Source organism: Homo sapiens, chromosome 10, assembly GCF_000001405.40.
Source record: "Homo sapiens chromosome 10, GRCh38.p14 Primary Assembly".
Classification (NCBI taxonomy): domain Eukaryota; kingdom Metazoa; phylum Chordata; class Mammalia; order Primates; family Hominidae; genus Homo; species Homo sapiens.
Window position 1 is genome coordinate 70,589,774 of NC_000010.11, and position 22,845 is coordinate 70,612,618.

General features: G+C 49.8%; 1 protein-coding gene across 2 annotated transcripts, besides 2 other annotated features; it reads right to left on the reverse strand.

Annotated features, from left to right (window-relative positions):
* Positions 5,840 to 6,134: an enhancer, noted in NCBI's record as "tiled region #12376; K562 Activating DNase matched - State 5:Enh". NCBI's record gives its function as "activates a minimal TATA promoter and a strong SV40 promoter by Sharpr-MPRA in K562 cells {active_cell/tissue: K562}" and the evidence as "EXISTENCE:reporter gene assay evidence [ECO:0000049][PMID:27701403]".
* Positions 6,608 to 7,108: an enhancer, noted in NCBI's record as "H3K4me1 hESC enhancer chr10:72356137-72356637 (GRCh37/hg19 assembly coordinates)". NCBI's record gives its function as "activates a minimal SCP1, AML or CMV promoter by ChIP-STARR-seq in primed H9 embryonic stem cells {active_cell/tissue: H9 hESC(primed)}" and the evidence as "EXISTENCE:reporter gene assay evidence [ECO:0000049][PMID:30033119]".
* PRF1 (perforin 1) lies at positions 7,575 to 12,968 on the reverse strand. Of its 2 annotated transcripts, none has more exons than NM_005041.6 (3): positions 12,872 to 12,968; positions 10,591 to 11,133; positions 7,575 to 9,408 (listed from the first exon to the last, which is right to left on the reverse strand). In NM_005041.6, the coding sequence occupies exons 2-3, from the start codon at positions 11,127 to 11,129 to the stop codon at positions 8,280 to 8,282; spliced, it is 1,668 nt and encodes a 555-aa protein (NP_005032.2). In that variant the 5' UTR covers positions 11,130 to 11,133; positions 12,872 to 12,968; the 3' UTR covers positions 7,575 to 8,279. The 2 variants fall into 2 exon arrangements, with proteins under 2 accessions (NP_005032.2, NP_001076585.1); NM_001083116.3 differs by having other exon boundaries at positions 10,591 to 11,159.

Consider the following 22,845-nt stretch of genomic DNA (forward strand, 5'->3'; position numbering starts at 1 on the left):
GTTATAATTTTTGCAAAGGCAGTTTCATAAAGAGGAAAGAGAGACAAGTATGTTTTCTTCAGGGTCAGCCTCTTTTTGTGATGGTTGAATCTCACAAGGAGTTTGGGGTTCCCAGGGAAAAATCCAGTGTCCTGCCAGCAAGCTGACGTCACTGCTCTTTTAAGAGGAAACTGGGAACCAGCTGTTGTGGAGATTAACTATGAGTGCAGATGTACAGTTGGAGCCCTACAATAAACAAAAGGTTCTGATTCTGCCCCACCAAACAACAGCAGCTGCTCTTGTTCTGGTTGGGCAGGGTTGAGTATCTGAGCCTTTGGGAAGAGAAAGTTAATAGGATCAGGGCTTCTTCCAGCATGAGAAAGATGGTGTTGTTCATGAGATGTACCCATTGTGCAGACTGGTGAGGGCGGGGCTGCTGGGTCCACCTGTTACCGGACAGGGGTCCCATTCCAGACCCCAACAGAGGGTTCTTGGATCTCATGCAAGAAAGAATTTGAGGTGAATCCATAAAGTGAAAGCAAGCTTAGAAGTAAAGAAACAAAAGAATGGCTACTCCATAAGCAGAGCAGTCCCAAGGGCTGCTTGTTGGCTATTTTTGTGGTTATTTCTTGATTAAATGCTGAATACGGGTGGATTATTCATGAGTTTTCTGGGAAAGGTGCAGGCAATTCCTGGATCTGAGGGTTCTTCCCCCTTTTAGACCATATAGGGTAACTTCCTGACATTGCCATGACATTTGTAAACTGTCATGGCGCTGGTGGGAGTGTCTTTTAGCATGATAATGCATTATAATTAGCATATAATGAGCAGTGAGGAAGACCAGAGGTCACTTTCATTACCATCTTGGTTTTGATGGGTTTGGCTAGCTTCTTTACCACAACCTGTCCTGTCAGCAGGGTCTTTGTGACCTGTTTCTTGTGCTGACCTCCTATCTCATCCTGTGACTTAGAATGCCTAACCTCCTAGGAAAGCAGCCCAGTAGGTCTCAGCCTCATTTTACCCAGGCCCTATTCAAGATGGAGTCGCTCTGGTTCAAACACCTCTGACACACCAGGCCATGCCACTGAGTGTCAGAGACTGAACAGCTTGTGGGATCAGGGCTGAGACTCTCCATGCTGAAAGCTGCAAATAAATCACGGTTCCAGCCCCCTCATTTGCAGCTGGGGACTCAAGTCTGGAGGGGGAGTTTTATGTGCTTGCAATGTACAAGAGAACTGATTGAGGTTGGGAATCTGTCTTGGACCAAAGTCGAAATTCATATGATTGGACTGGTTTCTGTGACTGGGTCTCCAGTGTGTGGCTGGGTCTTTTCAATGTGGCTTAGGTTGGATGTCAGTCCTTGGCTCCTCTCCAGGATCCTGTCTGTGACTGAGACTATCTCTGTGCATCACTAACTCTAACCTCCCCCTGAGAATCTCACCTGTGACCTTGGTCTCAACTGCACCAGTCACATCCTCCTGTCCTCAACGGTGAAAACCTGGCAGATGCTCAGCCTGCCCCTGCCCCAGGAGTGCTGTGGTCAGCTGAGCTGTGGAAGTCGAGGCTGGAAAGGACCTCATCAGCCAGTGGAGGGGAGGGGAAGGGAGGAGATCCTGTGAGCAGGCTAAGGTGGTAGACCTTGCCCCTCTGTGGCCAGAACCTGCCCAGGCCAAGTGGGCATCAGCTTTGCCCAGAGAAACAGCTGCCCTAGCTGCAACTGACCCCAGTTGGTGATGAGGTCTATTGAGGAACAAAGAATCAAGAGCAAACAACCAAGAGCATCCATCCCTCCCAGAAGGGGGTCTCACTTCTGTTGTCAGCTACAGAGAAGAGAGGCGGCTGGCCCAGCTCCACCTCCACCTTCTCCTGGGCAGTGTCTGGCCCTTCCATGGCTCCTTCACGGAAGGAGAGTGAGGGGAAGCTGCTGCATGGACTGGAATCAGCCCAGTGGTCCTTCTGCCTAACCACATTGAAGACAGGGCCAGTGATTTATGTATGTATGTATGTATGTATGTATGTATGTATGTATGTATGTATGTATTTTTAGAGACTGGGTCTCACTCTGTTGCCAGGCTGGAGTGCAGTGGCATGACCATAGCTCACTGCAGTCTTGACCTCCTGGGCTCAAGTGATCCTCCTGCCTTAGCCTCCCAAATAGCTAGGACTAACACGGTTGGCTAAAACCAAAGCTTTAAATATATAGAATCCTTGAGCCACAACCAGGAGTGGATGCTAGGCTTCTGTGGTAGGTAGCCTACTGTGTAGGCTCCTATGTAGGAGGTACGTCTCTGTGTAACATGAGAGCTCATGGTTAGAACCTTCTAAATGTGGGACAGTTACCTTAGGAGGTAATGAGCTGTCTGTCTCTGGGGGAGTTCAAGCAGAGGCTGGAAAATTCCTTGGTGGGGTTCATTCATCCACTCATTCATCTTCCATCTACTCATCCATCCAATATTTTTCACTTATCAAATTTATGCCAGGTGCTGGACTAGTTGATTCAACCATGAATAAGATAGAAATGGCTTGTGGCTTCACAGTGCTATGATGGGGAAACGCTGGGGACTACAGAAGCAGGGTAGAGGGCGGCATGACCTAGACCTGGCAGTCAGGGAAGGCTTCCTGGAGTAAGTGATCTTTGAAGCTAAAGGCTGAAGGTTGAGAAGGACTTAGCTGCAAGGAGTCAATAGAGTGTGAGCCAGTCAATGACACAGTCAGATGTGTGTCTTAGCTGGTTTCCTCAGAGGCAGACCCTGAGGCAGGGATCCAAGGGTGTATGGTTTCCACTGGGGGGTGACTCCAGAAAATACCAGTGAGGGGGTGTGGTAGTGAGACAGGAAAGGGAGGCAGCCAAGAAGGTGTATGTGGTCAAGCAAGTCACCTCTGTGTGCAAATGGAGCTTCCACCTGCTGTAGAACTCTGGGAGCCAGTGTGGCATATGTCCTGCAGTTATTCCCTGGACAGGGAGTGAGCTGGGGTATTTGTATACCAACTTTCCTCAGCCACTGGTTGTGGGTTTTTCTGGACTGAGTGGGACATGGACACTATTCTCAAATAATTCTGGCCTCCTGATGGGGCAGGCAGAGTGGGCCCCAGCACAGGCCTTAGACAGAGGTGCAGGGGCTGGTGGTTGTGGTGGGGTCTGAGGGGATCTGCGCAGGGTGCTGGCATCACCGTGGCTGCAGGGTGAGTGAGGGGCATGCACGAGCCCTGAGATCAGTGAGAAGGCCAAAGGCGGAGTGGGCCAAGCAAGAGATACTGGCGACCAAGAGAGGCTGTGGTTATGAGGAAGCGACAGATGTCAGGATGTGGAGCGGCGTGGAGGAATGGAGATGCTGGTGAGCAAGAGGAACCACAGTCTCCCAAGGCTGCAGCAGCCCCCTCACCACAAGGAACTCCCTCGCTCCCTCACCCCTACACCACCTCCCCCTCCAGCAGGCATCTCCTCCGTCCAAACACATCAGGGACGCCAGGCTCACTGCCAGCTTGTCAGGACCACGAAGGTGTATATGGAGGGAGATGATGGTGCTGTGGCAACTGCTTAAAAAACAAAAGCTGGGGCTGGCTCACGCCTGTGATCCCAGCACTTTGGGAGGCCAAGGTGGGAGGATCGCTTGAGGCCAGGAGTTTGAGACCAGCCGGGGCAACGTGGAGAGATCCTGACTCTGCAAAACATTAAAAAATTAGTCAGGCATGGTGGTGCATGCCAGCTACTCAGGAGGCTGAGGTGGGAGGATCACTTTAGCCCAGGAGTCAAGGCTGCACTGAGCTATGATTGTGCCGCTGTGCTCCAGCCTGGGCAATAGAGCAAGACCTTGTCTCTAAAAAAACAAAAAACCTGGGTTGTTGTCAATGCCAGCCCCAAGTCTTGGAAGAGACCCCTTGGACTGTGTGCGCATATGAAAATGAATGTCATCCTGACTACCTGTAGCTTCCAGTGTGCCCACGTCTGTCTTCCTGTTGGATGCAGCCCTCAAGGGGACAGGCGCTCAGCATGACTTTCTGTCCTTGGGGGCCCCAGGACCTGGATCATAGAAGGCACTCAGTAACAATCCGTCAGGTGATGGAGAACGTGAATGGACCCCGGCTTCTGTGCTTCCTGCCATTGGGAGGGAGGGGCTGGGGGACAATTGTGTGGTGGTTCTAAGGGCAGGATCCCACTAGCATTGGGGAAGGGGATGGTGTTGTCATCCAGGGTTTTTAACTGCAGGCAAAAGAAGCCAAGTCTGGATAGATAAGTAGAAAAAGAATGTATTGACTGGGCATCTCACAGAGTCGCCTGGGTGGCTGGGCAGCCTGAGCATCCAGGAACAGTGCCCCTAAATCCTGCCTCGGGACTGGCCCAGTGGGGACACTGCTGCAGAGTCGTAGCTACCTCTGGTTGTTCCTCTGACCCCATAATCCCTAGACACTCTCACCAGCAGCCCCAGGAACTCCCTCTTCCTGCAATGACAGCTCCAGATTCCATGGGGAGCAAGGTCGGCACCTGCATCCCCTGGGCAGTATCCTCCCAGCGCAGGTCCCTACATTTGGACTCAGCCTCTGCCTCTTCCCCTGAGGGTTTTCCCTGGCCATTGGACTCTGCTCTGCCTGCCCCTTTGGTGGAGTGAGGGGGAAATTAACACCCATGTGTGGAAGCAGACACACATGGTGTATGAAAACACCCTGGCTCCCTCAGTGCTAGGCTAGAGGCACGTGTTCTTCTTTGTCTCCAGGACAGCTCTGGCTGCCCACAGTGATGACTTGTGGGAAAATGCACTTTTTTTTTTTTTTAACTTTGAGACAGAGTCTCACTTTGTCACCTAGGCTGGAGTGCAGTGACATGATCTCAGCTCACTGCAACCTCTGCCTCCTGGGTTCAAGCAATTCTCCTGCCTCAGCCTCCTGAGTAGCTGGGACTACAGGCGTGTGCCACCAAGCCCAGCTAATTTTTTTGTATCTTTAGTAGACAGGGTTTCACCATGTTGGCCAGGCTGGTCTTGAACTCCTGGGCTCAAGTGATCCGCCCGTCTTGGCCTCCCAAAGTGCTGGGATTACAGGCGTGAGTCACCACGCCCGGCCAAAAATGTACTTTTTATTGGCCAGCCTCCCTGCCGGCTCACTTCCCCTCTCCCCTGCTGGTGCCTCCTGGGATCACTTCTGCATAAATTACCTGCACTCAAACCCTCATTTCAGTGCCTGCTTCTCAGGAAATCACATATCTAGGCAGCTGTACCTGACTGGCAGCCCCAGTCCCATGTTCTTTCCTAGGTATAAGGGAGGGTGCGGAAGACAGAATTGGGCATTTTCAGCTTCAGGGGAAGGTGGGCTCTGCTTCCCACCAGACTTATAAGGAGGATGACCCTGTCATCCAGGGCCCCAGTAGGATGCCAGTGGCATATTCAAATTACAATAATTGGTGGAAGGTTTTTTCAGACTTAAGCTGTAGGGAGTGGAAGAGATAGTGCAGTGTCTTAGGATGAGCAGCGGCAGAGTTTTGCAGCCCTAGGTCTGAAGGGACAAGGGGCACGGGCAGTTACCAGAACTGGGAAAGAAAGAGACATGCAGGCTGGGTGTGGTAGCTCACACCTGTAATCCCAGTACTTTGGGAGGCTGAGGTGGGAGGATTGCTTGAACTCAGGAGTTCAGCAACATGGAGAAACCCTGCCTCTACCAAGAGTACAAAAATTAGCCAGGCATGGTGGTATGTGCCTGTAGTCCCAGCTACTCAGGAGGCTGAGGTGGGAGGATCACCTGAGCCTGGGAGGTCAAGACTGCACTGAGCCATGATTGTGCCAATGCACCTCCAGCCAGGGTGACTGGTGGTGTTGTGGCAGAGGAAAAGATGGGATCAGACAAGCCACATTTGAAAAAAAAAAAAGAGAGAGAGAGTGAGATGTGCAGAGGTCCCCTGGAAAGGTGCAGTGACATAAGGGACAGAGCCAGCCCAAGGCCACCTCACTAGGGACATGGAGGGGAGCAAAGGCCTTACTATTTGTACTCCACCTCCCTAATCTCCTGCCCACAGATAAGGCTCAGACAGGTCAGTCCCCTGGGTCGGAGCAGGGTGAAGTAGGTGGGGACAAGACCTGGAGGGCAAACGGAAGGAGGCTAGCACAGTGGAGACTTCCTCAAACAAACAAGGGGGCCTCGGGTGTGCCAAAGCATCCCAATGTCCAGGTGGGGTGGAAATGAAAGTGTCATGCCGGGTCTTGAGTTAGGGCTGGCTCTTTCTGCCGCTAACTTCTTCTGTGACTACAGTTGAATCCCTTCCTCCTGCTAGGTCTCAGTTTCCCTGTGTATGAAACCACATGAACTTTCGGCACCCTCCTGTAGCACTAGGAAGGTTCAAGACAGTCCTAAGAAGGGAGTAAAATAGACTGTCGTTTTGGAGAAACTGGGGCCCAGGAGGCAGAGAGACTTGCTGGGGGTCACTGATCACATAGCTATTGAGCAAGACTTCCATTTCTTGTCAGGGCTGTGCCCTGAGCCAGGCCCGCCCTGGCCTTTTGAACCTGCTTTCCCCGGGAGGCACCGCCCACCCCCATGTTTGTTTCCAATGAGCGCAGCAGCCACCGTGAAGTGTCGAGGTCTCTCTCATGCTCTGGTTTGAGTGTGTGTCTGTGAATGGGACATGTGGTAACAGTAGTTTCACCAGGCTTTTGGACCTTGGCCACCCCTCCTGTCCCACCTGGGGATTTAGGGTTAATGTAATGTCACTGCTTGGCATTTGGGCCTATGAGTCCCATACAAACTTCAAAGAACTTAATTTATAGGGAGTTTCAAAGAGAGTCGGGAGGGCTGTGCCCGCTCCTCTGGACCCTCTGACAATGACCCTGCACAGCCTGCACAGCCGTGTCCAGGAAGCTGCCTGGAATCTTGCCATCCACTCCACGGGACTGTGTGCTGAGGCCTATGTCCCGGGCACATGAAACAAAGACCATTTCATCTTATGTTGGAAGCCGAGACTCTGGGTTTTTTTGCATCCAAGGCCTAGGAGGCCCACAGAGCCCACCTTGTTGGAACCAATGCTCCTTTGCTTGAAATCGTGAGACAGGGGAGAGCTTTTCAGCTTTGTGCAAAATGGTTCTGTTGAAGGTAGAATTTTCAAAGCAGATAGCCCTGGATCAATTATGGCCCACATGCATGTTCTCTTTGGCTTGCACCATGTTTGCCCACAAAGGTGTATTTTCACAAAATGAAATTAACTGCCACAGTTAGAAGTCAAATTGTGGTTTGACCTTAAATAAGTAGAAGACCTGGCAGCACGGGGCTCATGTTCCTGCATGAAATGTTTGGCTGGAGCAGCACTGCAGCCCCTCCCCCCGCACAAAAGATATGCACTCTTTAGTTGACCACAGTCCTTACCATGCCCTATTGTCTTCCAGCTGGGAGCTGAATGCCTGTTGCCATTTATCATGTTTATGCTGCTGCTTTCTTGAGTCAGAGAGTTATGAGGAAGGTAAAATATTTTGGGTCCCCACGTTTCTGACAAAAGTGGAAAAGCAGTTTATATACATTACCTGCCAGCCTGTTTTCACTGGGTTGCCAATGTAGAAGTTTATCTCTGGGGTGTGTTTGGTCCCATCTTTTCCTCTGCCACAACACCACCATGATGATCACCATAACATCATATTTATTGGCCCTTTATCAAGCTATGTACATGGTGAGACAGGTCAGGACAGGCCTCCATTTGTCTCAGGGGCAAAGCATTGTGGGCAAAGAAGACAGAGCAGCTGGAGCTGATGGGGCTCCAGTTAAGGCAATGAAGGCTTTGCCACACCATAGAGGGCTCAAGGGAAGGGTCCTAAAAGACCAGCCCTGAGCAGCCTGGTGGGAACAGCCTCTTGGCCTTCTGCCCAGCTCCTGGCTGAAGCTGTGATCTGTGTAGCTGTGACTGCAGGGCTTGAGAATGGCGGAGGGCTTAGGCAGTTTGGACAGGGTGAATCGGGATTAGCGTGTAAACCCAGCCACCTCCCTGAAAAACAGTCTGAATCTCCCTTTTCCATCTGTCTGATGCGTATCCAATCTTTTGGCTTCTCTGGGCCACGTTGGAAGAAGAATTGTGTTGGGCCACATGTAAAATCCACTAGCACTAACGATAGCCGATGAGCTAAAAAAAAAAAAAAAATAGCAAAAAGAAACTCATAATGTTTTAAGAAAGTTTGCGAATTTGCGTTGGGCCGCATTCAAAGCCATCCTGGGCCGCATGCGGGCCTCGGGTTGGACAAGCTTGGTCTAATGGGAATACGAAGACAGCCCTGGCTCCCACTGTGAGAACCCCTTCAGTCCAAGCATACTGGTCCTTTCCAAGCTCACTGTTCTCACCACACGGCCCCACTCCGGTTTCCTGGAGGCTCCCCCAGAAGCATTTGGGGGACATAGTCCAGGCAGGTGCCTCCTCCCAGGTGGGGCAAGCACCTGGCATGATAGCGGAATTTTAGGTGGCCATGATTCAGGTTGCATCTCACCTCATGGGAACCAGACTTGGGAGCCTGATCACAGGTGCCAAGGAGGTCATCGTCCCTGCCAGAGTCCTGATCCCAGACCTGCAACCTCAGGGGCCCCCCTGTGGCCAGGAGCACATCCCCAAAATCCAGCCGCACTGACCAGATGGGGTTGTTATTGTCCCACACGGTGCTCGTCCTCAGCTCCTGGCCACCAAAGAAGAGCTTCACATAGGCATCCGTGGCAGTGAACCAGTCCCCCCACAGGCCCCATGCTTGGATGAAGGTCACCTCCAGCTGGGCCAGGCCCCTCTGCCGAGGGCAGCAGTCCTGGGTGGTGACCGCTGAGCCATGGCACACACACTGGCATGGGTCTCGGGGGCTCTTCTGCCGCCCTGGTGGGCACGGCCGGCTGCAGTCCCTCCAGCGAGCCCTGTCCGTCAGGTACTGACTCAGGGCCCTCCTCAGTGCCTCCCGCCGCGGGTCCTGGCTGTCCAGCAGCACGTGCAGGGGTTCCAGGGTGTAGTCCACCAGGCCAGGGCTGCCGGGCAGCGAGTTTACCCAGGCTGAGTACTGCTCGGGCCCGGCCTGGATCCCGAACAGCAGGTCGTTAATGGAGGTGTGATGGCCGCCAACCACTTCCGAGTGGCGCTCCCGGTAGGTTTGGTGGAAGGAGGCCGTCATCTTGTGCTTCTTCTTCTTCTCCTCACAGGCCTTGGCTTCGGCAGAGATGCTGCCGTGGATGCCTATGTTGACCTGGGCCTCGACAGTCAGGCAGTCCTCCACCTCGTTGTCCGTGAGCCCTTCCAGGGCCAGCTCGCAGGTGCGCAGGGCAGTGAGGGCCGATATGCGGCCACCCAGCTCCACAGCCCGGATGAAGTGGGTGCCGTAGTTGGAGATAAGCCTGAGGTAGGCGGGCTGGGTGGAGGCGTTGAAGTGGTGGGGCAGGTCCCCGAGGGCCCTCTTGAAGTCAGGGTGCAGCGGGGGAGTGTGTACCACATGGAAACTGCGAGAAGAGAGAGACCTCAGCTGGGCCCAGGGGAGTATTTCCCCCATTCAATCAAATAACTCCTTCAGGACTGCTCAAGGTCACATGTAAGTGGGCAGAACTAGGACTGGAACCCAGGGGCCCGGCTCCAGAGCACAAGCACAGTGGCACGGGGCTGGCAGGAATGCCTCCGCTCTCACCCCTCAGGGACCTCAGTGCTCTGTATAGGTATTTTCTCTTTTCCTTTTCAAAATAACATTTTTTTCTTTCCTTTTAATTTTCTTATTATAAAAGCAATGATCCTGGCCGGGAGCAGTGGTTCATGCCTGTAACCCCAGCACTTTGGGAGGCCGAGGCGGGAGGATCACTTGAGCCCAGGAGTTTGAGACCAGCCTGGGCAACATAGTGAGACCCCATCTCTATTTTTTTTTTAAGAAAAAGTAAAAAAGAACATAAAAGCAATGATCCTGCACTGATGGTATCTGTCGAACTTTGGAACTAGTCATGTGGCCTTCATCCATCCGTCCCCCTGGATGGGTCCCACATGCCCGGGATCCTGACAGCTTGGGCCATGCTCGGCCTCTCTGTGGAGGAAACGTGGCCCCCAGGTCTGATGAATCAGACCAGGTGACTTGGGTCTGGCCTACAAACACTGTGCCTTTCTCAGACGTGGAATATGGGTCCCATACTTCCTACTCCCAGGGGCTAGGGTAGTGACTGCTGTCGCTCAGCAGTGTGGCCCTGCCACAGGCAGGTGTGAGTATTGGTTGAGTGGATGATTGAAGCTCAGAGAGAAGTGAGATGCTCAAGGTCACACAGCGATGAGGAAGGATGACCCGGCCAGGTCTCCTGCCTCTGTCCCTATCCAGGAAGGACTCTGTGGAAGGCTGGCTGTGCCCAGGAAAGGCAGGGTTCAGTACTCACTAGACCTAAATGGCACCCTGCTGGGACTCTCAGGCATGGTCTCACTCACTTTCTCTCTACTTGATGTCTCACTGGGCACTCCCAGATTTGGGACCTCCTGGATGAGAGGAGGCCACAGGGCTGAATCACCTGAAGTCTGAGAGCCAGGATTGCAGTTTCTTCCTGGTGGAAGCAGCCTCCAAGTTTGATTGGAGGACTCTGCCTTTCCAGGGCTCCTAGACCACCCAGAGTTTCCCGCGCCTTTTCCAGCCCCCCACCCCTAGCCCCAGCTCTCACCTGTAGAAGCGGCACTCCACCGTGTCAGTGCTGAAGCTGTACTGGTCCTGGTGGGTCTTCTGGGCTGCAAAGTTGGCTGCCTGTGAGTGTGAGCCGGCCACAGACACATGCACATTGCTGGTGGGCTTAGGAGTCACGTCCAGCCCGACCTTCCAGTCGTTGCGGATGCTACGAGCCGCATCCCGGGCCACAGCTTCAGTGGAGCTGACTTTGGCCCTGGTTACATGGCGCTGGCAGCCAGAGCCCTGGGCCCGCCAGTTGGTGAGCGCCAGAGGCAGGCGCTGGAGGGTGCCCTCCTGTAGGGCATTTTCACAGAGGGTGCAGGTGCCGTCGGGCCGCAGGAACCTTTGTGTGTCCACTGGGAAGGAGCCCGAGCGGCGGAGGCTGGTCACGTCCACACCCTCCCCGGCCAGCCATGCACCAGGCACGAACTTGTGGCTGCGCTTGCACTCTGAGCGTGCGGCTGTGTGGCACGGGGCAGGGACGGGCAGGGGCAGCAGCAGGAGAAGGATGCCCAGGAGGAGCAGACGGGCTGCCATGGAGCTGCAGAGACAGGGGGCACTTGGGCTCTGGGAAGCCATGGGTGGAGGGATGGAGGATGACTGCTCCCTTCCCCCACAGCCACAGATTATCAGGGCACATGGAAGGGGAGGGGCTGAGATATCTCTTAAGTCATTATTCAATGAATGTCAGAGCTGGTATGTCCCTTATAGGCCTGGTTCAGCCCCCACATTGTACAGATGGGCCCAGAGAGGGGAAAAGCCCAGCCAAGGGGAGCCCCTTTTTAGAATTTCCCTAAGGCCTAATGGGGATCTAGGTGGATGGCTCTGTCCCCAGGACACAACTGTGGGTGGTGGGGAGGGGGCTGTGGCCACAGAAGAGGGGACAGAGTAGCTGTAGCAGGTTTAGGGAGGGGTCTGGGGACCTGAGGAAGCCTTCATTCTGAAGAAGTGTCATTTTTGGCCCCAGAACAAGCCACCCTTTGCCCACCCTGACTCTCACTCTGTTTCTTTGTCTCTGTCACTCTCTCTAACCTCTCTCCCTCCCACTGAGCCCTTAACAGAATTGGAAGAGAAATGAGGTCCTATATTGCACCTATTCTTCTCATTTTCCCTTTGGGGCTCTCCCTCTGAGCTTTATGGAATAACATCAGCCCGAATTCTAGAATAAAATCTGCCGACCTGGCCAGGTGTGGTGGCTCACACCTGTAAACCGAACACTGTGGGAGGCAGAGGCAGGTGGATCACTGGAGGTCAGAAGTTCGAGACCAGCCTGGCCAACGTGGTGAAACCCCCTCTTTACTAAAAATACAAAAATTAGCTGGGCATGGTGGCGGGTGCCTGTAATCCCAGCTACTTGGGAGGCTGAGACAGGAGAATCGCTTGAACCCAGGAGGCGGAGGTTGCAGTGAGCCAAGATCGTACCACTGCACTCCCGCCTGGGTGATAGAGTAAGACTCTGCCTCAAAAAAAAAAAAAAAAAGGGGCAGACCTGACCACACCCTTGGATTTTGTGTGGGGAGAGGCCTCGATGGTTGCTCTTCAGATCCTTTCTTGCTGCCCCTCCCCTCTTTGCCACTCCCTGCCAAGCTCTGTGGCCTTCGGCAGTGACAGGGGCCCCCCTATTGCCTACTATGGACAATGATTGTCTGGAAGGTTCTTCCTAATTTTAAGGTGTTTCTGGGGCCTTGCCTGGGCCTGTTTATGATCTGGAACCTCCTTTCTCTAACCTTACCCAAGCCTAACCTTATCCAAGCTGAGCTCTTCAAAGGCCTTTGCCCTTGGGTACCACAGGTTCTGAGACAAGAGGGCTATGGAGAGCCCCCATTATAGCTGGAGCCTCCTGCCCTGCCCAAAGGTGTGACTTGAAGGGTGGAATTTCAGGCAGCGTGGCTCGCCCCAGGGAGGCAAAGAGGCCAGGGGAATCTTCAAAGGCCCTGGGCTCATCCCAGCTAGGAGGCGGGCACAGTCATAACCCTAATCCAGTGAACTCAGCCCTCATCCTGACTCTCATGGTATTCTGTCCCAGGGAGCCTCTTTCCAGCTTTCTTAGAAGCTTTAATGTCAGCACTTGCAGGGCCTTAGAAACTGCACGCTACCTCTTCATTTCATACATGAGGAAACTGAGGCCCAGGGTGGACACAGGGCTGCCCAGCGAGTTAGTGATGGGCACCGTCTGTGACCCAGGTGTCTTGTCTTATAGGTCACAGCACTTCCTGCTCCATCAGCCTCTTCCCCTCCACCCAGGGCCCCAGGCCCCCCAATCCCTGCTCTCTCCTTACCTGGAATCCCGTATAGAGAAGCGGCTACACAGATGGATATCCTCTCTTCACCGAGGCTCCTGGAATGGTGGCATCAGCCCCCCAGGCAGCCCACTGTGGCTCCTTGCACCAGCCACCACTCACATCACTTCTACTTCCTGCCCCGCCCCCAGCTGTGGTCACAGGTCCTTTGTGCTCTCCCCTCCCACAAGCACCCACCCTGTCCTCAGCCCTCATCCGGCTCCCCACTGACAGCCCTCAGGAAGCGAGCAGCAGGGCCAGAGGCTCATCTGCCGAGTAGAGCTGCTGGGGCTCGGGGACTCAGGGCACACAGGCGGAGGAGGGCGGGGCGCTGAGGACTTTGAGACTCGGCCCTGGTGTTGATGAACAGGCCAGCAGGGCCATCTCCTTGCTTCTGATGCACAGCATCGCATGTGTGGGATGTAAGAGGCAAGCAGAGGCGGCGGCTCAGAGCATGGGCCTACACGCCAGACCGCCGGGGCTTGGGCAGCTCGGTTATGCACCAGCAGTGTGGACTGGTAGGGTTCTTCAGCCTCACTGTGCCTCAGTTTCTTCACTGAACAATTGGGATTGTAGGTCATGTAGACCCTAGGGGTTGTTGTGAAGTGCTTGGAACTGTGCCTGGCCCTTCTTGAGTGTCAGAGCCTGTGGCCATTCCCTCCTCCCTGAGTGGGAGAAGAGAGATGTTGCTCTAATCTTGCCATCCACTTCCTGCTCAACCTACATCCCACCCTAGCCCAGGCTCCGAACTCCAAGCATGTTCCTCGAACAGGGGCTCCTGCTCCTCGCTTTGTGAGGACAGCCAGTGGCCTCCACGCTGGCTCCAGCCCTGCTGAGGTCGTGGGTGCTGGTGAGAGTGGTCTGGTAGCACCGGAGGACATGTCTTCTGCACTCTGCCTTGCTTGAGGTCAGGGTGGGGTGAGGTTTCCATGGGTGGAGTGACTCACAGGGCACTGGGGGGCAAAATCACACGGCTTCTGGGGTGGGGGCAGCTGGGTAAGGGAGGAGGTGGTTCTCACAACTTGTTCTCATAACTGTGTATATGATGGGAAGAAGTGGCCGCAGGCTCCAGACCACATGTGACATCATGTCTCATGGGTCACACTTTGGGGCTCATCCCTTGCGTTTATGTCCCTGCTTCCGTCCCTGCTCTTACAGGAACAGGGGCTTATGCTGTCTTCTCGGAATCTGGCCCCATCTTCTCTCCGCAGTGTCCCCACCCTCTTCTAGAAACTGCAGCCTCCTGATCACTTTCCAGCTGTCACCCATGGCCTGACTTGGATGCTGAGGCTGTGAGGAGTTTCTTTCCTGACCATGACAGGAAGGCCGGTTTGAGGGACATAGAAGTCCTGCAAAGTATCTGCGGGAAAAGAGAGGCAAAGTCTAAACAGGTTCTGATCCCAGCTTCACCAGAAACTTACCGTATGCCTCACGGCGATAGATATCAACCCCCTTTCTGAGCGTTAGTTTCCTCACCTATAAAATCAAAGAGAGGACTTTGGAATTCTACACATCCTTCCAGCTAATGATAAAATGTACACTTGGCAGGTTTCAAGTGGCTTATGAAGTGGCTAATGCCCAAGAGATGCTAGTGGTTGTTAGGGGATCCATTAAAGAGCCGAAATGACATTGAGGGTGATGACTGTTTTTGACTCGTTTAACTGATGACAGCTGTCCTTCTGAAACTTGACACTTGAATGTGCATTAAGCAGAGTTTTTCCTCAGAGACACAAGTTTCAACAAGTGCGTAATTTGTTCAATCACCAGACACCATGTATATGGTTTTCTTTAGTAACAACAATCTTTAGATGTAATTCACATACCATATAATTCACCCATTTCAAGTATATGATTCAATGGCTTTAGTATGTTCACAGAGTTGTACAGCCACCGCTACAGTCAATTTTAGAACATCTTCATCACTTTCCAGAAATAAAACCTATACCCACTGGTGGTCATTTCTCATTTCTTTTTCTTTTTCTTTTTCTTTTTTTTTTTTTTTTTGAGATGAAGTCTTGATTTGTCACCCAGACTGGAGTGCAGTGGCATGATCTCGGCTTACTGCAACCTCTGCCTCCCAGGTTCAAGCGATTCTCCCACCTCAGCCTCCCCAGTAGCTGGGACTACAGGCATGCGCTACCACGCCTGGCTAATTTTTTTTTTTTTTTTTTGTATTTTTAGTAGAGACGGGGTTTCACCATGATGGCCAGGCTGGTCTTGAACTCCTGATCTGCAAGTGATCAGCCCACCTTGGCCTCCCAAAGTGCTGGGATTACAGGCGTGAGCCACCGTGCCTGGCCATTTCTCATTTCTTCATAACGCTAATCTACTTTATCTCTCTGTTAATTTTCCCATTTTCGACAATTCATATAAAAAGAATCATAGCATATGTGGCCTTTTGTGTCTGGCTTGTTTCATTTAACATAATACTTTCAAGGTTCATCCATGTTGTAGCATGTATCAGTACTTTAGTCCATTTCATGGCTGAATAATATTATATTATATGGACATATCACAATTTGTTTACCCATTCATAACTGATGGATTTATTGGTTGTTTCTACTTTTTAGCTGTTATGAATAATGCTGTTATGAACATTTGTGTACAGGTTACTGTGTGGACATATGTTTCCATTTCTCCTGAGTATATATCTAGGAGTGGACTTGCTGGGACATGTGGTAACTATAGGTTTAACTTTTTGAGGAAGTGTTTTCCAACGTGATTGCATTGTTTTGCATTTCTCCAGCAGCTTATGAGAGTTCTAATTCCTCCTTTCCAAATCAAACCAAGGTTCCACTAGTTCCTTGCCAAACCTTGATTATAGCCATCCTGGTGGGTGTGAAGTCGTACCTCATTGTGGTTTTGACTTGGATCTCCCCAGTGGCTAATGAAGTTGAACATCTTTCCATATGCTTATTGGCCATTTGTACACCTTCTTTGGAGAAATGTCTATTCAAGTCCTTTGCCCCTATTTTGAACTGAGTTGTCTTTTTATTGTTGAATTGTAATAGCTCTTTCTACGTTTTGACTTCTAGACCCTTGTCAGATATAGAATTTGCAAATATTTTTTCCTATTTTGGCAGTTGTCTTTCTTTTCACTTTCTTGAGGGTGCCCTTGAAGTATAAAAATATTTTACTTTTGGCCAGGCATGGTGGCTCACATCTGTAATGCCAGCACTTTGGGAGGCCAAGGTAGGAGGATCGCTTAAGTCCAGGAATTCAAGACCAACCTAGGCAATGTGGCAAAACCCTGTCTGTACAAAAAATACAAAAATTAGCCAGGCATGGTGATGTGTGCCTGCTTTTTGGGATAGTTCCAAATAGTTCCAGCTATTTGGGAGGCTGAGGTGCGAGGATTGCTTGAGCCCAGGAGTTCGAGACCAGCCTGGGCAACATGGCAAGACCCTGTCTCTGGAAAAAAAAAAAAAAATTAGCTGAGAGTGGTGGCACACACACACCCCTGTAGTCCAAGCTACTCAGAAGGCTTAGGTGGGAGGATTTCTTGAGCCTGAGGGGTCGAGGCTGCAATGAGCCAAGATCGCACCGCTTTACTCTGGCCTGGGTGACAGATCGAGACACTGTCTCAAAAAAAAAAAAAAGATTTTACAGGCCGGGAGGGGTGGCTCATGCCTGTAATCCCAGCGCTTTGGGAGGCCGAGGCAGGCGGATCACGAAGTCAGGAGATCGAGACCATCCTGGCTAACACAGTGAAACCCCGTCTCTACTAAAAAAATACAAAAAATTAGCCGGGCGTGGTGGCGGGCGCCTGTAGTCCCAGCTACTCAGGAGGCTGAGGCAGGAGAATGGCATGAACCCAGGAGGCGGAGCTTACAGTGAGCCGAGATCATGCCACTGCACTCCAGCCTGGGTGACAGAGCAAGACTCTGTCTCAAAAAAAAAAAAATTTTTTTACTTTTGTTGAAGTTCAATTTACCTATTTTTTTCTTTTGTTGCTTATATTTTTAATGCCATATCTAAGAAGGTTCTGCCTAATCCAAGATCATGAAGATTTATTCCTATGTTTTCTTCTAAGAGTTTTATAGTTTTAGCTCTTATATTTAGGTCTATTATCCATTTGGAGTTAATTTTTGTGTATGGAAAGGGGTCCAACTTCATTCTTTTGCATGTGGATATCGTATATGGTTTTGATTTTTTTAGGTTATAAAATACCTGCTTTAGATAGAACAGTGCCATAAATCTTGCTATCTTGGAATGTTCATGTCCCTCCAAGATTCATGTTGAAACTTAATCCTCAATGCAATAGTATTAAGGAGTGGGGCCTTTAGGAGGTAATTAGGTCATGAGGGTTCTGCCTTCATGAATGGGATTAGTGCCCTTATAAAAGGGCTTGAGGGAGTCTGTTTGTACCTTCTTGCTCTTCTGCCCTTCCACCATATGAGGTCACAGCAACAGGCACCGTCTGTGGAGCAGAGAGCAAACTTTCACCAGATACCACGTCTGCTGGTACTTTGATCTTGAACTTTCCAGCCTCCATAACTGTGAGAAATACATTTCTATTATTTATAAATTATCCAGTCTAACATATTTTGCTATGGCAGCAGGAGTAGACTAAGCAAGAAATTGTGCTGGGAGTGGGGTGCTGCTGTAACAAATACCTAAAAATGTGGAAGGAGCTTTGCAGCTGAGTAATGGGTAGAGGCTGGAAGAGTTTGAGGTTCATGCTGAAAAAAACTTGTATTTCTGTGAACGGACTATAAAGGGTTTTTCTAGTGAGGGTTCAGAAGACGAGGAGAACTGTAGAGAGAGCTTCAATCATTTTAGAGATTATTTAAGTGGTTGCAAGTGGAACATTGGTAGAAATATAAACGGTAAAGGCTACTTTGATGAGGTCTTAGATGGAAATAAGAAACATCTTCTTGTTAAGTGGAAGAAAGGTGATCCTTGTTATAAAGTGGCAAAGAATTTGGCTGCATTGTGTTTGTGTTCTAGTGTTTTGTGGAAGGCAAAACTTATGAGCAACGAAAGAGTATATTTGGTAGAAGAAATCTCTAAGCAAAGTGTTGAGGATGCAGCATGGCTTTTCTTGATTGCTTACAGTAAAATACAAGATGAGAGAAATGAATTAAGGGTGAAACATATAGTTAAAAGGGAAGTAGAACTTAAAAGAGTTGGAAAGTTCTCAGCGTGGCCAGGTTGTAAAGAATGAGAAAGTGTTTGAGAGAGAATACCAATGGTGTGGCCAAGTGAATGTTTGATAGGGAGATTTATATGGCTAGAAGAATGCCAGGTGATATTCATCAAGACGATGGGAAAATGGCCCCCAAGGCATTTTGGAGATCCTCAAGGCTGCCACTACTATTACAGGCCCAGAGTGCCAGGGTTTTGTGGTCCGAATGGTTTCAAGGGAGGGACCCAGGATGCCTTTGGGGCTTTGTGGTTTGCTGCCCAGGGCTGCATCAAATTTCTACTCCATGCATTCTGGCACAGAGCTCGTTGGTCACCTCAAGTGTGGCTAGTGGGCCTAGGTGCAGTGTGGTCTACAGTGGTTGTCCCTTTGGTTGCCCCATGGATACCATGCTCCATGGCTGGAGCGCCGTGCTTCATGCCCACAAGTGTAAAATTGGATACATTGGAGCATGGTATCCATGCAGTGTTAAACTGCAGTGGGGGCATGGCTATGACCACCTGGATTTCAAAGGATGTCCTACAGAGGCTTGGGGCCCAGACAGAGAACTATCATAGATGTGAGACCACTTCAGAGAGCCCCCACTAGGGAAATGTCTAATGGACCTGTGGGGTTGGGGCCACCTCAGAAATCCCCCACTAGGGCTCCCAGTGGAGCCATGGGGGCAGAGTGACCCTGGAGATGCCAGACCAGGAGAGCCACCAGCATGCAACTCCAATCTGGGAGATTCTCAGGGACTGGACTCCAATACATGAGGGCCACTGCGTGGGTGGTGCCAAGCGAAGCTGTGGGGACAGTGCTGCCTGGAAGCATGACTTCCACCCCAGTGTGTGCAGAAGGTGGGGCACAGAGTCAAAGATTATTTTCAAGTCTTAAGATTTACTGTTGTTTGCTCTGTTGGGTTTTGGACTTGGTCAAGGCCTGTCACCCCTTTCTTCTTTCCTATTGCTCCCTTTTGGAATGGGAATGTCTATCTATGCCCATCCCACCATTGTATTTTTTTTTTTTTTTTTATTTTTTGTGAGACAGAGTTTCCCTCTTGTCACCCAGGCTGAAGTACAAAGGCACCATCTTGGCTCATTGCAACTTCTACCTCCCAGGTTCAAGCAATTCTCCTGCCTCAGTCTCCCAAGTAGCTGGAATTACAGGCGCCCGCCACAATGCCCAGCTAATTTTTTTTTGTATTTTTAGTGGAGACAGGGTGTCGCCATATTGGCCAGGCTGGTCTCGAACTCCTGACCTCAGGTGACCTGCCCGCCTTGGCCTCCCAAAGTGCTGGGATTACAGATGTGAGCCACTGTGCCTGGGCCCACCATTGTATTTTGGAAGCACGTAACTTTTTTTATTTCATAGGTTGACAGCTGGAGAGCAGCTTGCCTCAGGGTAATTTTATTTTATTTTATTTTTTTGAGACAGTCTCACTCTGTTGCCCAGGCTGGAGTACAGTGGTGGGAACCTTGGTTCACTGCAACCTCCGCCTCCCAGGTTCAAGTAATCCTCCTGCCTCAGCCTCTCGAGTAGCTGAGACTACAGGTGCATGCCACCACACCCGGCTACTTTTTTGTATTTTAGTAGAGATGGGGTTTCAACGTGTTGGCCAGGCTGATCTCGAACTCCTGACCTCAAGTGATCCACTCGTCTCAGGATTACAGGGGTGAGCCACCGTGCCCGGCCTGCCTCAGGTTGAATTATACCTTAAGTCTCATCCATATGTGATTTAGATGATACTCATTTTAAATTTTTCATTTCGTTTTATTTTTTTTAAGTGACAGAGTCCCACTGTCTTGCCTGGGCTGGAGTGTAGTGGTACAGTCTCTGCAGCCTCGAACTCCTGGGCTCAAGGGATCATCCCACCTCAGTCTCTTGAGTAGCTGGGACTATTCAAGATGATATTCAGATGAAATGTAGACTGGACTTAAACTTTAAAGTTGATGGTGAAGTGAGTTAAAACTTTTGGGGGTATTGAGATGGAATGAATGTATTTCGTATGTCAGAAGGACATGAATTTGGGGGGCACCAGGGGTGGAATGCTATAGTTTTCTTTTCTTTTCTTTTTTTTTTTTTTTGATATAGAGTTTTCCTCTTGTTACCCAGGCTGCAGTGCAATGGCGCGATCTCGGCTCACTGCAACCTCTGCCTCCTGGGTTCAAGTGATTCTCCTGCCTCAGCCTCCCAAGTAGTTGCAATTACAGGTATGTGCCACCACACCCGGCTAATTTTGTAATTTTTTTTAGTAGAGATGGGGTTTCACCACGTTGGTCAGGTTGGTCTTGAACTCCTGGCCTCAGGTGATCCACCCGCCTCGGCCTCCCAGAGTGTTGGGATTACAGGCATGAGCCACTGCGCCCGGCCTGGAATGCGATATAGTTTGAATATTTGTGTGTCTCCAAAATTTCTGATGACACCCCTCAGTGCAATAGTATTAAGAAGTATTAAGAGTATTAAGAGAGCCCCGCCCTCATGAGTGGGATTAGTGCCCTTATAAAAGGGCTTGAGGGAGTCTATTAGTCCCTTTTGCCTTTCTACCCTTCTGCTGTGTGTGTGAGGACACAAGATGTTGTCTATGGAGTAGGGAAAGCCTTCACCAGACACTGAGTCTGCTGGCACCTCGATCGTAGACTTCCCAGCCTCCAGAATTGTGAGTAATAAAGTTCTATTATTTATAAATTACCCATGCTAAGGCCTTTTGATATAGCAGCAGGAACAGGCGAAGGCAGCACTCGACATAGGATGCACGAGGGAGATAGAGCGTGATTGCGTCTGCTGAAGTGCAGTACCTACCACATAAATGACAGCTGTGACCTGAAATCAAAGAGGTCCTTTAACAAAACTAGTGTTTAGATGCTAATTATCATGCATATATTAAAGAGCCAAAATGCAGTCACATGTGGTGTTTTCTTCACCCTGCGATAATTCTTTAGTGCCTTTTCTTTACAAGTTTGTGAAACTTTGAGGTTCTTCTCCCACAGCCCTCAACAGTGTTACCCACAGTTCTTGTTTTGCCCTTTGTCTCATAAAATGAGACAAAAGAACTGAAGAAATCTTTCCTCTTTTTCCTCTCTGCAAAAGGCTTCATAGAAGATTGGCACTCTGTTGGTGTAATTGGGTAGATTTTATTCAGGTTTATTGGGTAGCTTTATTCAGGTTTTCTGTTTTGTTTGTTTTCTGGTATCAGTTTTGGCAAGTTACGTTTTTCTAAATCCTTCACACTGTCTAAAATTTCACACTTGTGGGCATGAAGTTGTTTACAATGTTCTTTCTCTTAAAAACAAAATCTTTCTGAGTTAGTAGTGATGCCCTATTTTGATAAAAGATTTTTTTAAAAATGGCTTTAGGCTGGGCATGGTGGCTCACGCCTGTAATCCCAGCACTTTGGGAGGCCGAGGCAGGTGGATCACAAGGTCAGGAGATCGAGACCATCCTGGCTAACACGGTGAAACCCTGTCTCTATAAAAATACAAAAAACTAGCCGGGCGTGGTGGCAGGCGCCTGTGGTCCCAGCTACTCAGGAGGCTGAGGCAGGAGAATGGCGTGAACCCAGGAGGCGGAGCTTGCAGTGAGCCAAGATGGCGCCACTGCACTCCAGCCTGGGCGACAGAGCAAGACTCTGTCTCAAAAAAAAACACAAAAAAAGGCTTTTTTCTTTTTCATGGATCAGTCTTGATAAAGATTTATACATATCACATTAATTTTTTCAAAGAACCTACTCTTGGCTTTATTGATTTTCCCTATTGTATCATTATTTTCCATTTTGTTAATTTCATTAAAAATTTTTTTTCGGCCGGGCGCGGTGGCTCACGCCTGTAATCCCAGCACTTTGGGAGGCCGAGGCGGGCGGATCACGAGGTCAGGAGATCGAGACCATCCCGGCTAAAACGGTGAAACCCCGTCTGTACTAAAAATACAAAAAATTAGCCGGGCGTAGTGGCGGGCGCCTGTAGTCCCAGCTACTTGGGAGGCTGAGGCAGGAGAATGGCGTGAACCCGGGAGGCGGAGCTTGCAGTGAGCCGAAATCCCGCCACTGCACTCCAGCCTGGGCGACAAAGCGAGACTCCATCTCAAAAAAAAAAAAAAAAAAAAAAAATATTTTTTTCACTTCCTTTTCCCTTTTGTTTGGGCTTCTTCTGTTGTTCTTTTTCTAACTTCTTGAGTTGAACCCTTAGCTCATTAATTTTCAGTCTTTCTTTTTCTTTATTTTCAGTAAGCAAATGCTTCTTTAAGTAATCATTTAAGCCTCTACATTTCTAAGAATCTTTTTAACTGTGTCTCTAAAGTTTTGGGATGTGGTATTTTCATAATTGCCTAGTTTTAAAATATTTTCTTATAATTTCTTTTTTGGCTTGCAAGTTATTTATAAAGTGTGCTTTCCACGATTTCAGTCATAGGGGTTTTAAATGCTATCTGTTGGTTATGAATTTCTAACATAGTTGCATTGTAGTCAGAGCATGTTGTCTGTGTGACACCCATTCATTAAGGTTTATTGACATTTTTTCTATGGTCTACCGAATGTTTAGTTTTGTAAATGTTCCTGTGTACTTGAGAAGAATATGTATTTGCTAATTTTTGGATGCAGCGTTCTATGTTCAAATCTGTGGTCTTTTGAAACAGTCATTACTGAGAGAATCATGTTGAAATCTTCTACGATGAAGGTAGATTGTTTAGCTTCTCTCTATACCTTTCGTTCTGTCAGTTTTTGCTTTACATATTTGGAAGCTGCTTTATTAAACAAGTTTAGTATAGTGTTGTCTTCCAGGATTGAACTCTTTATTATTATGTAGTGGCTCTTTTTATCTCAAACAATGCTTTTTGCCTAAATGTCTATTTGGTC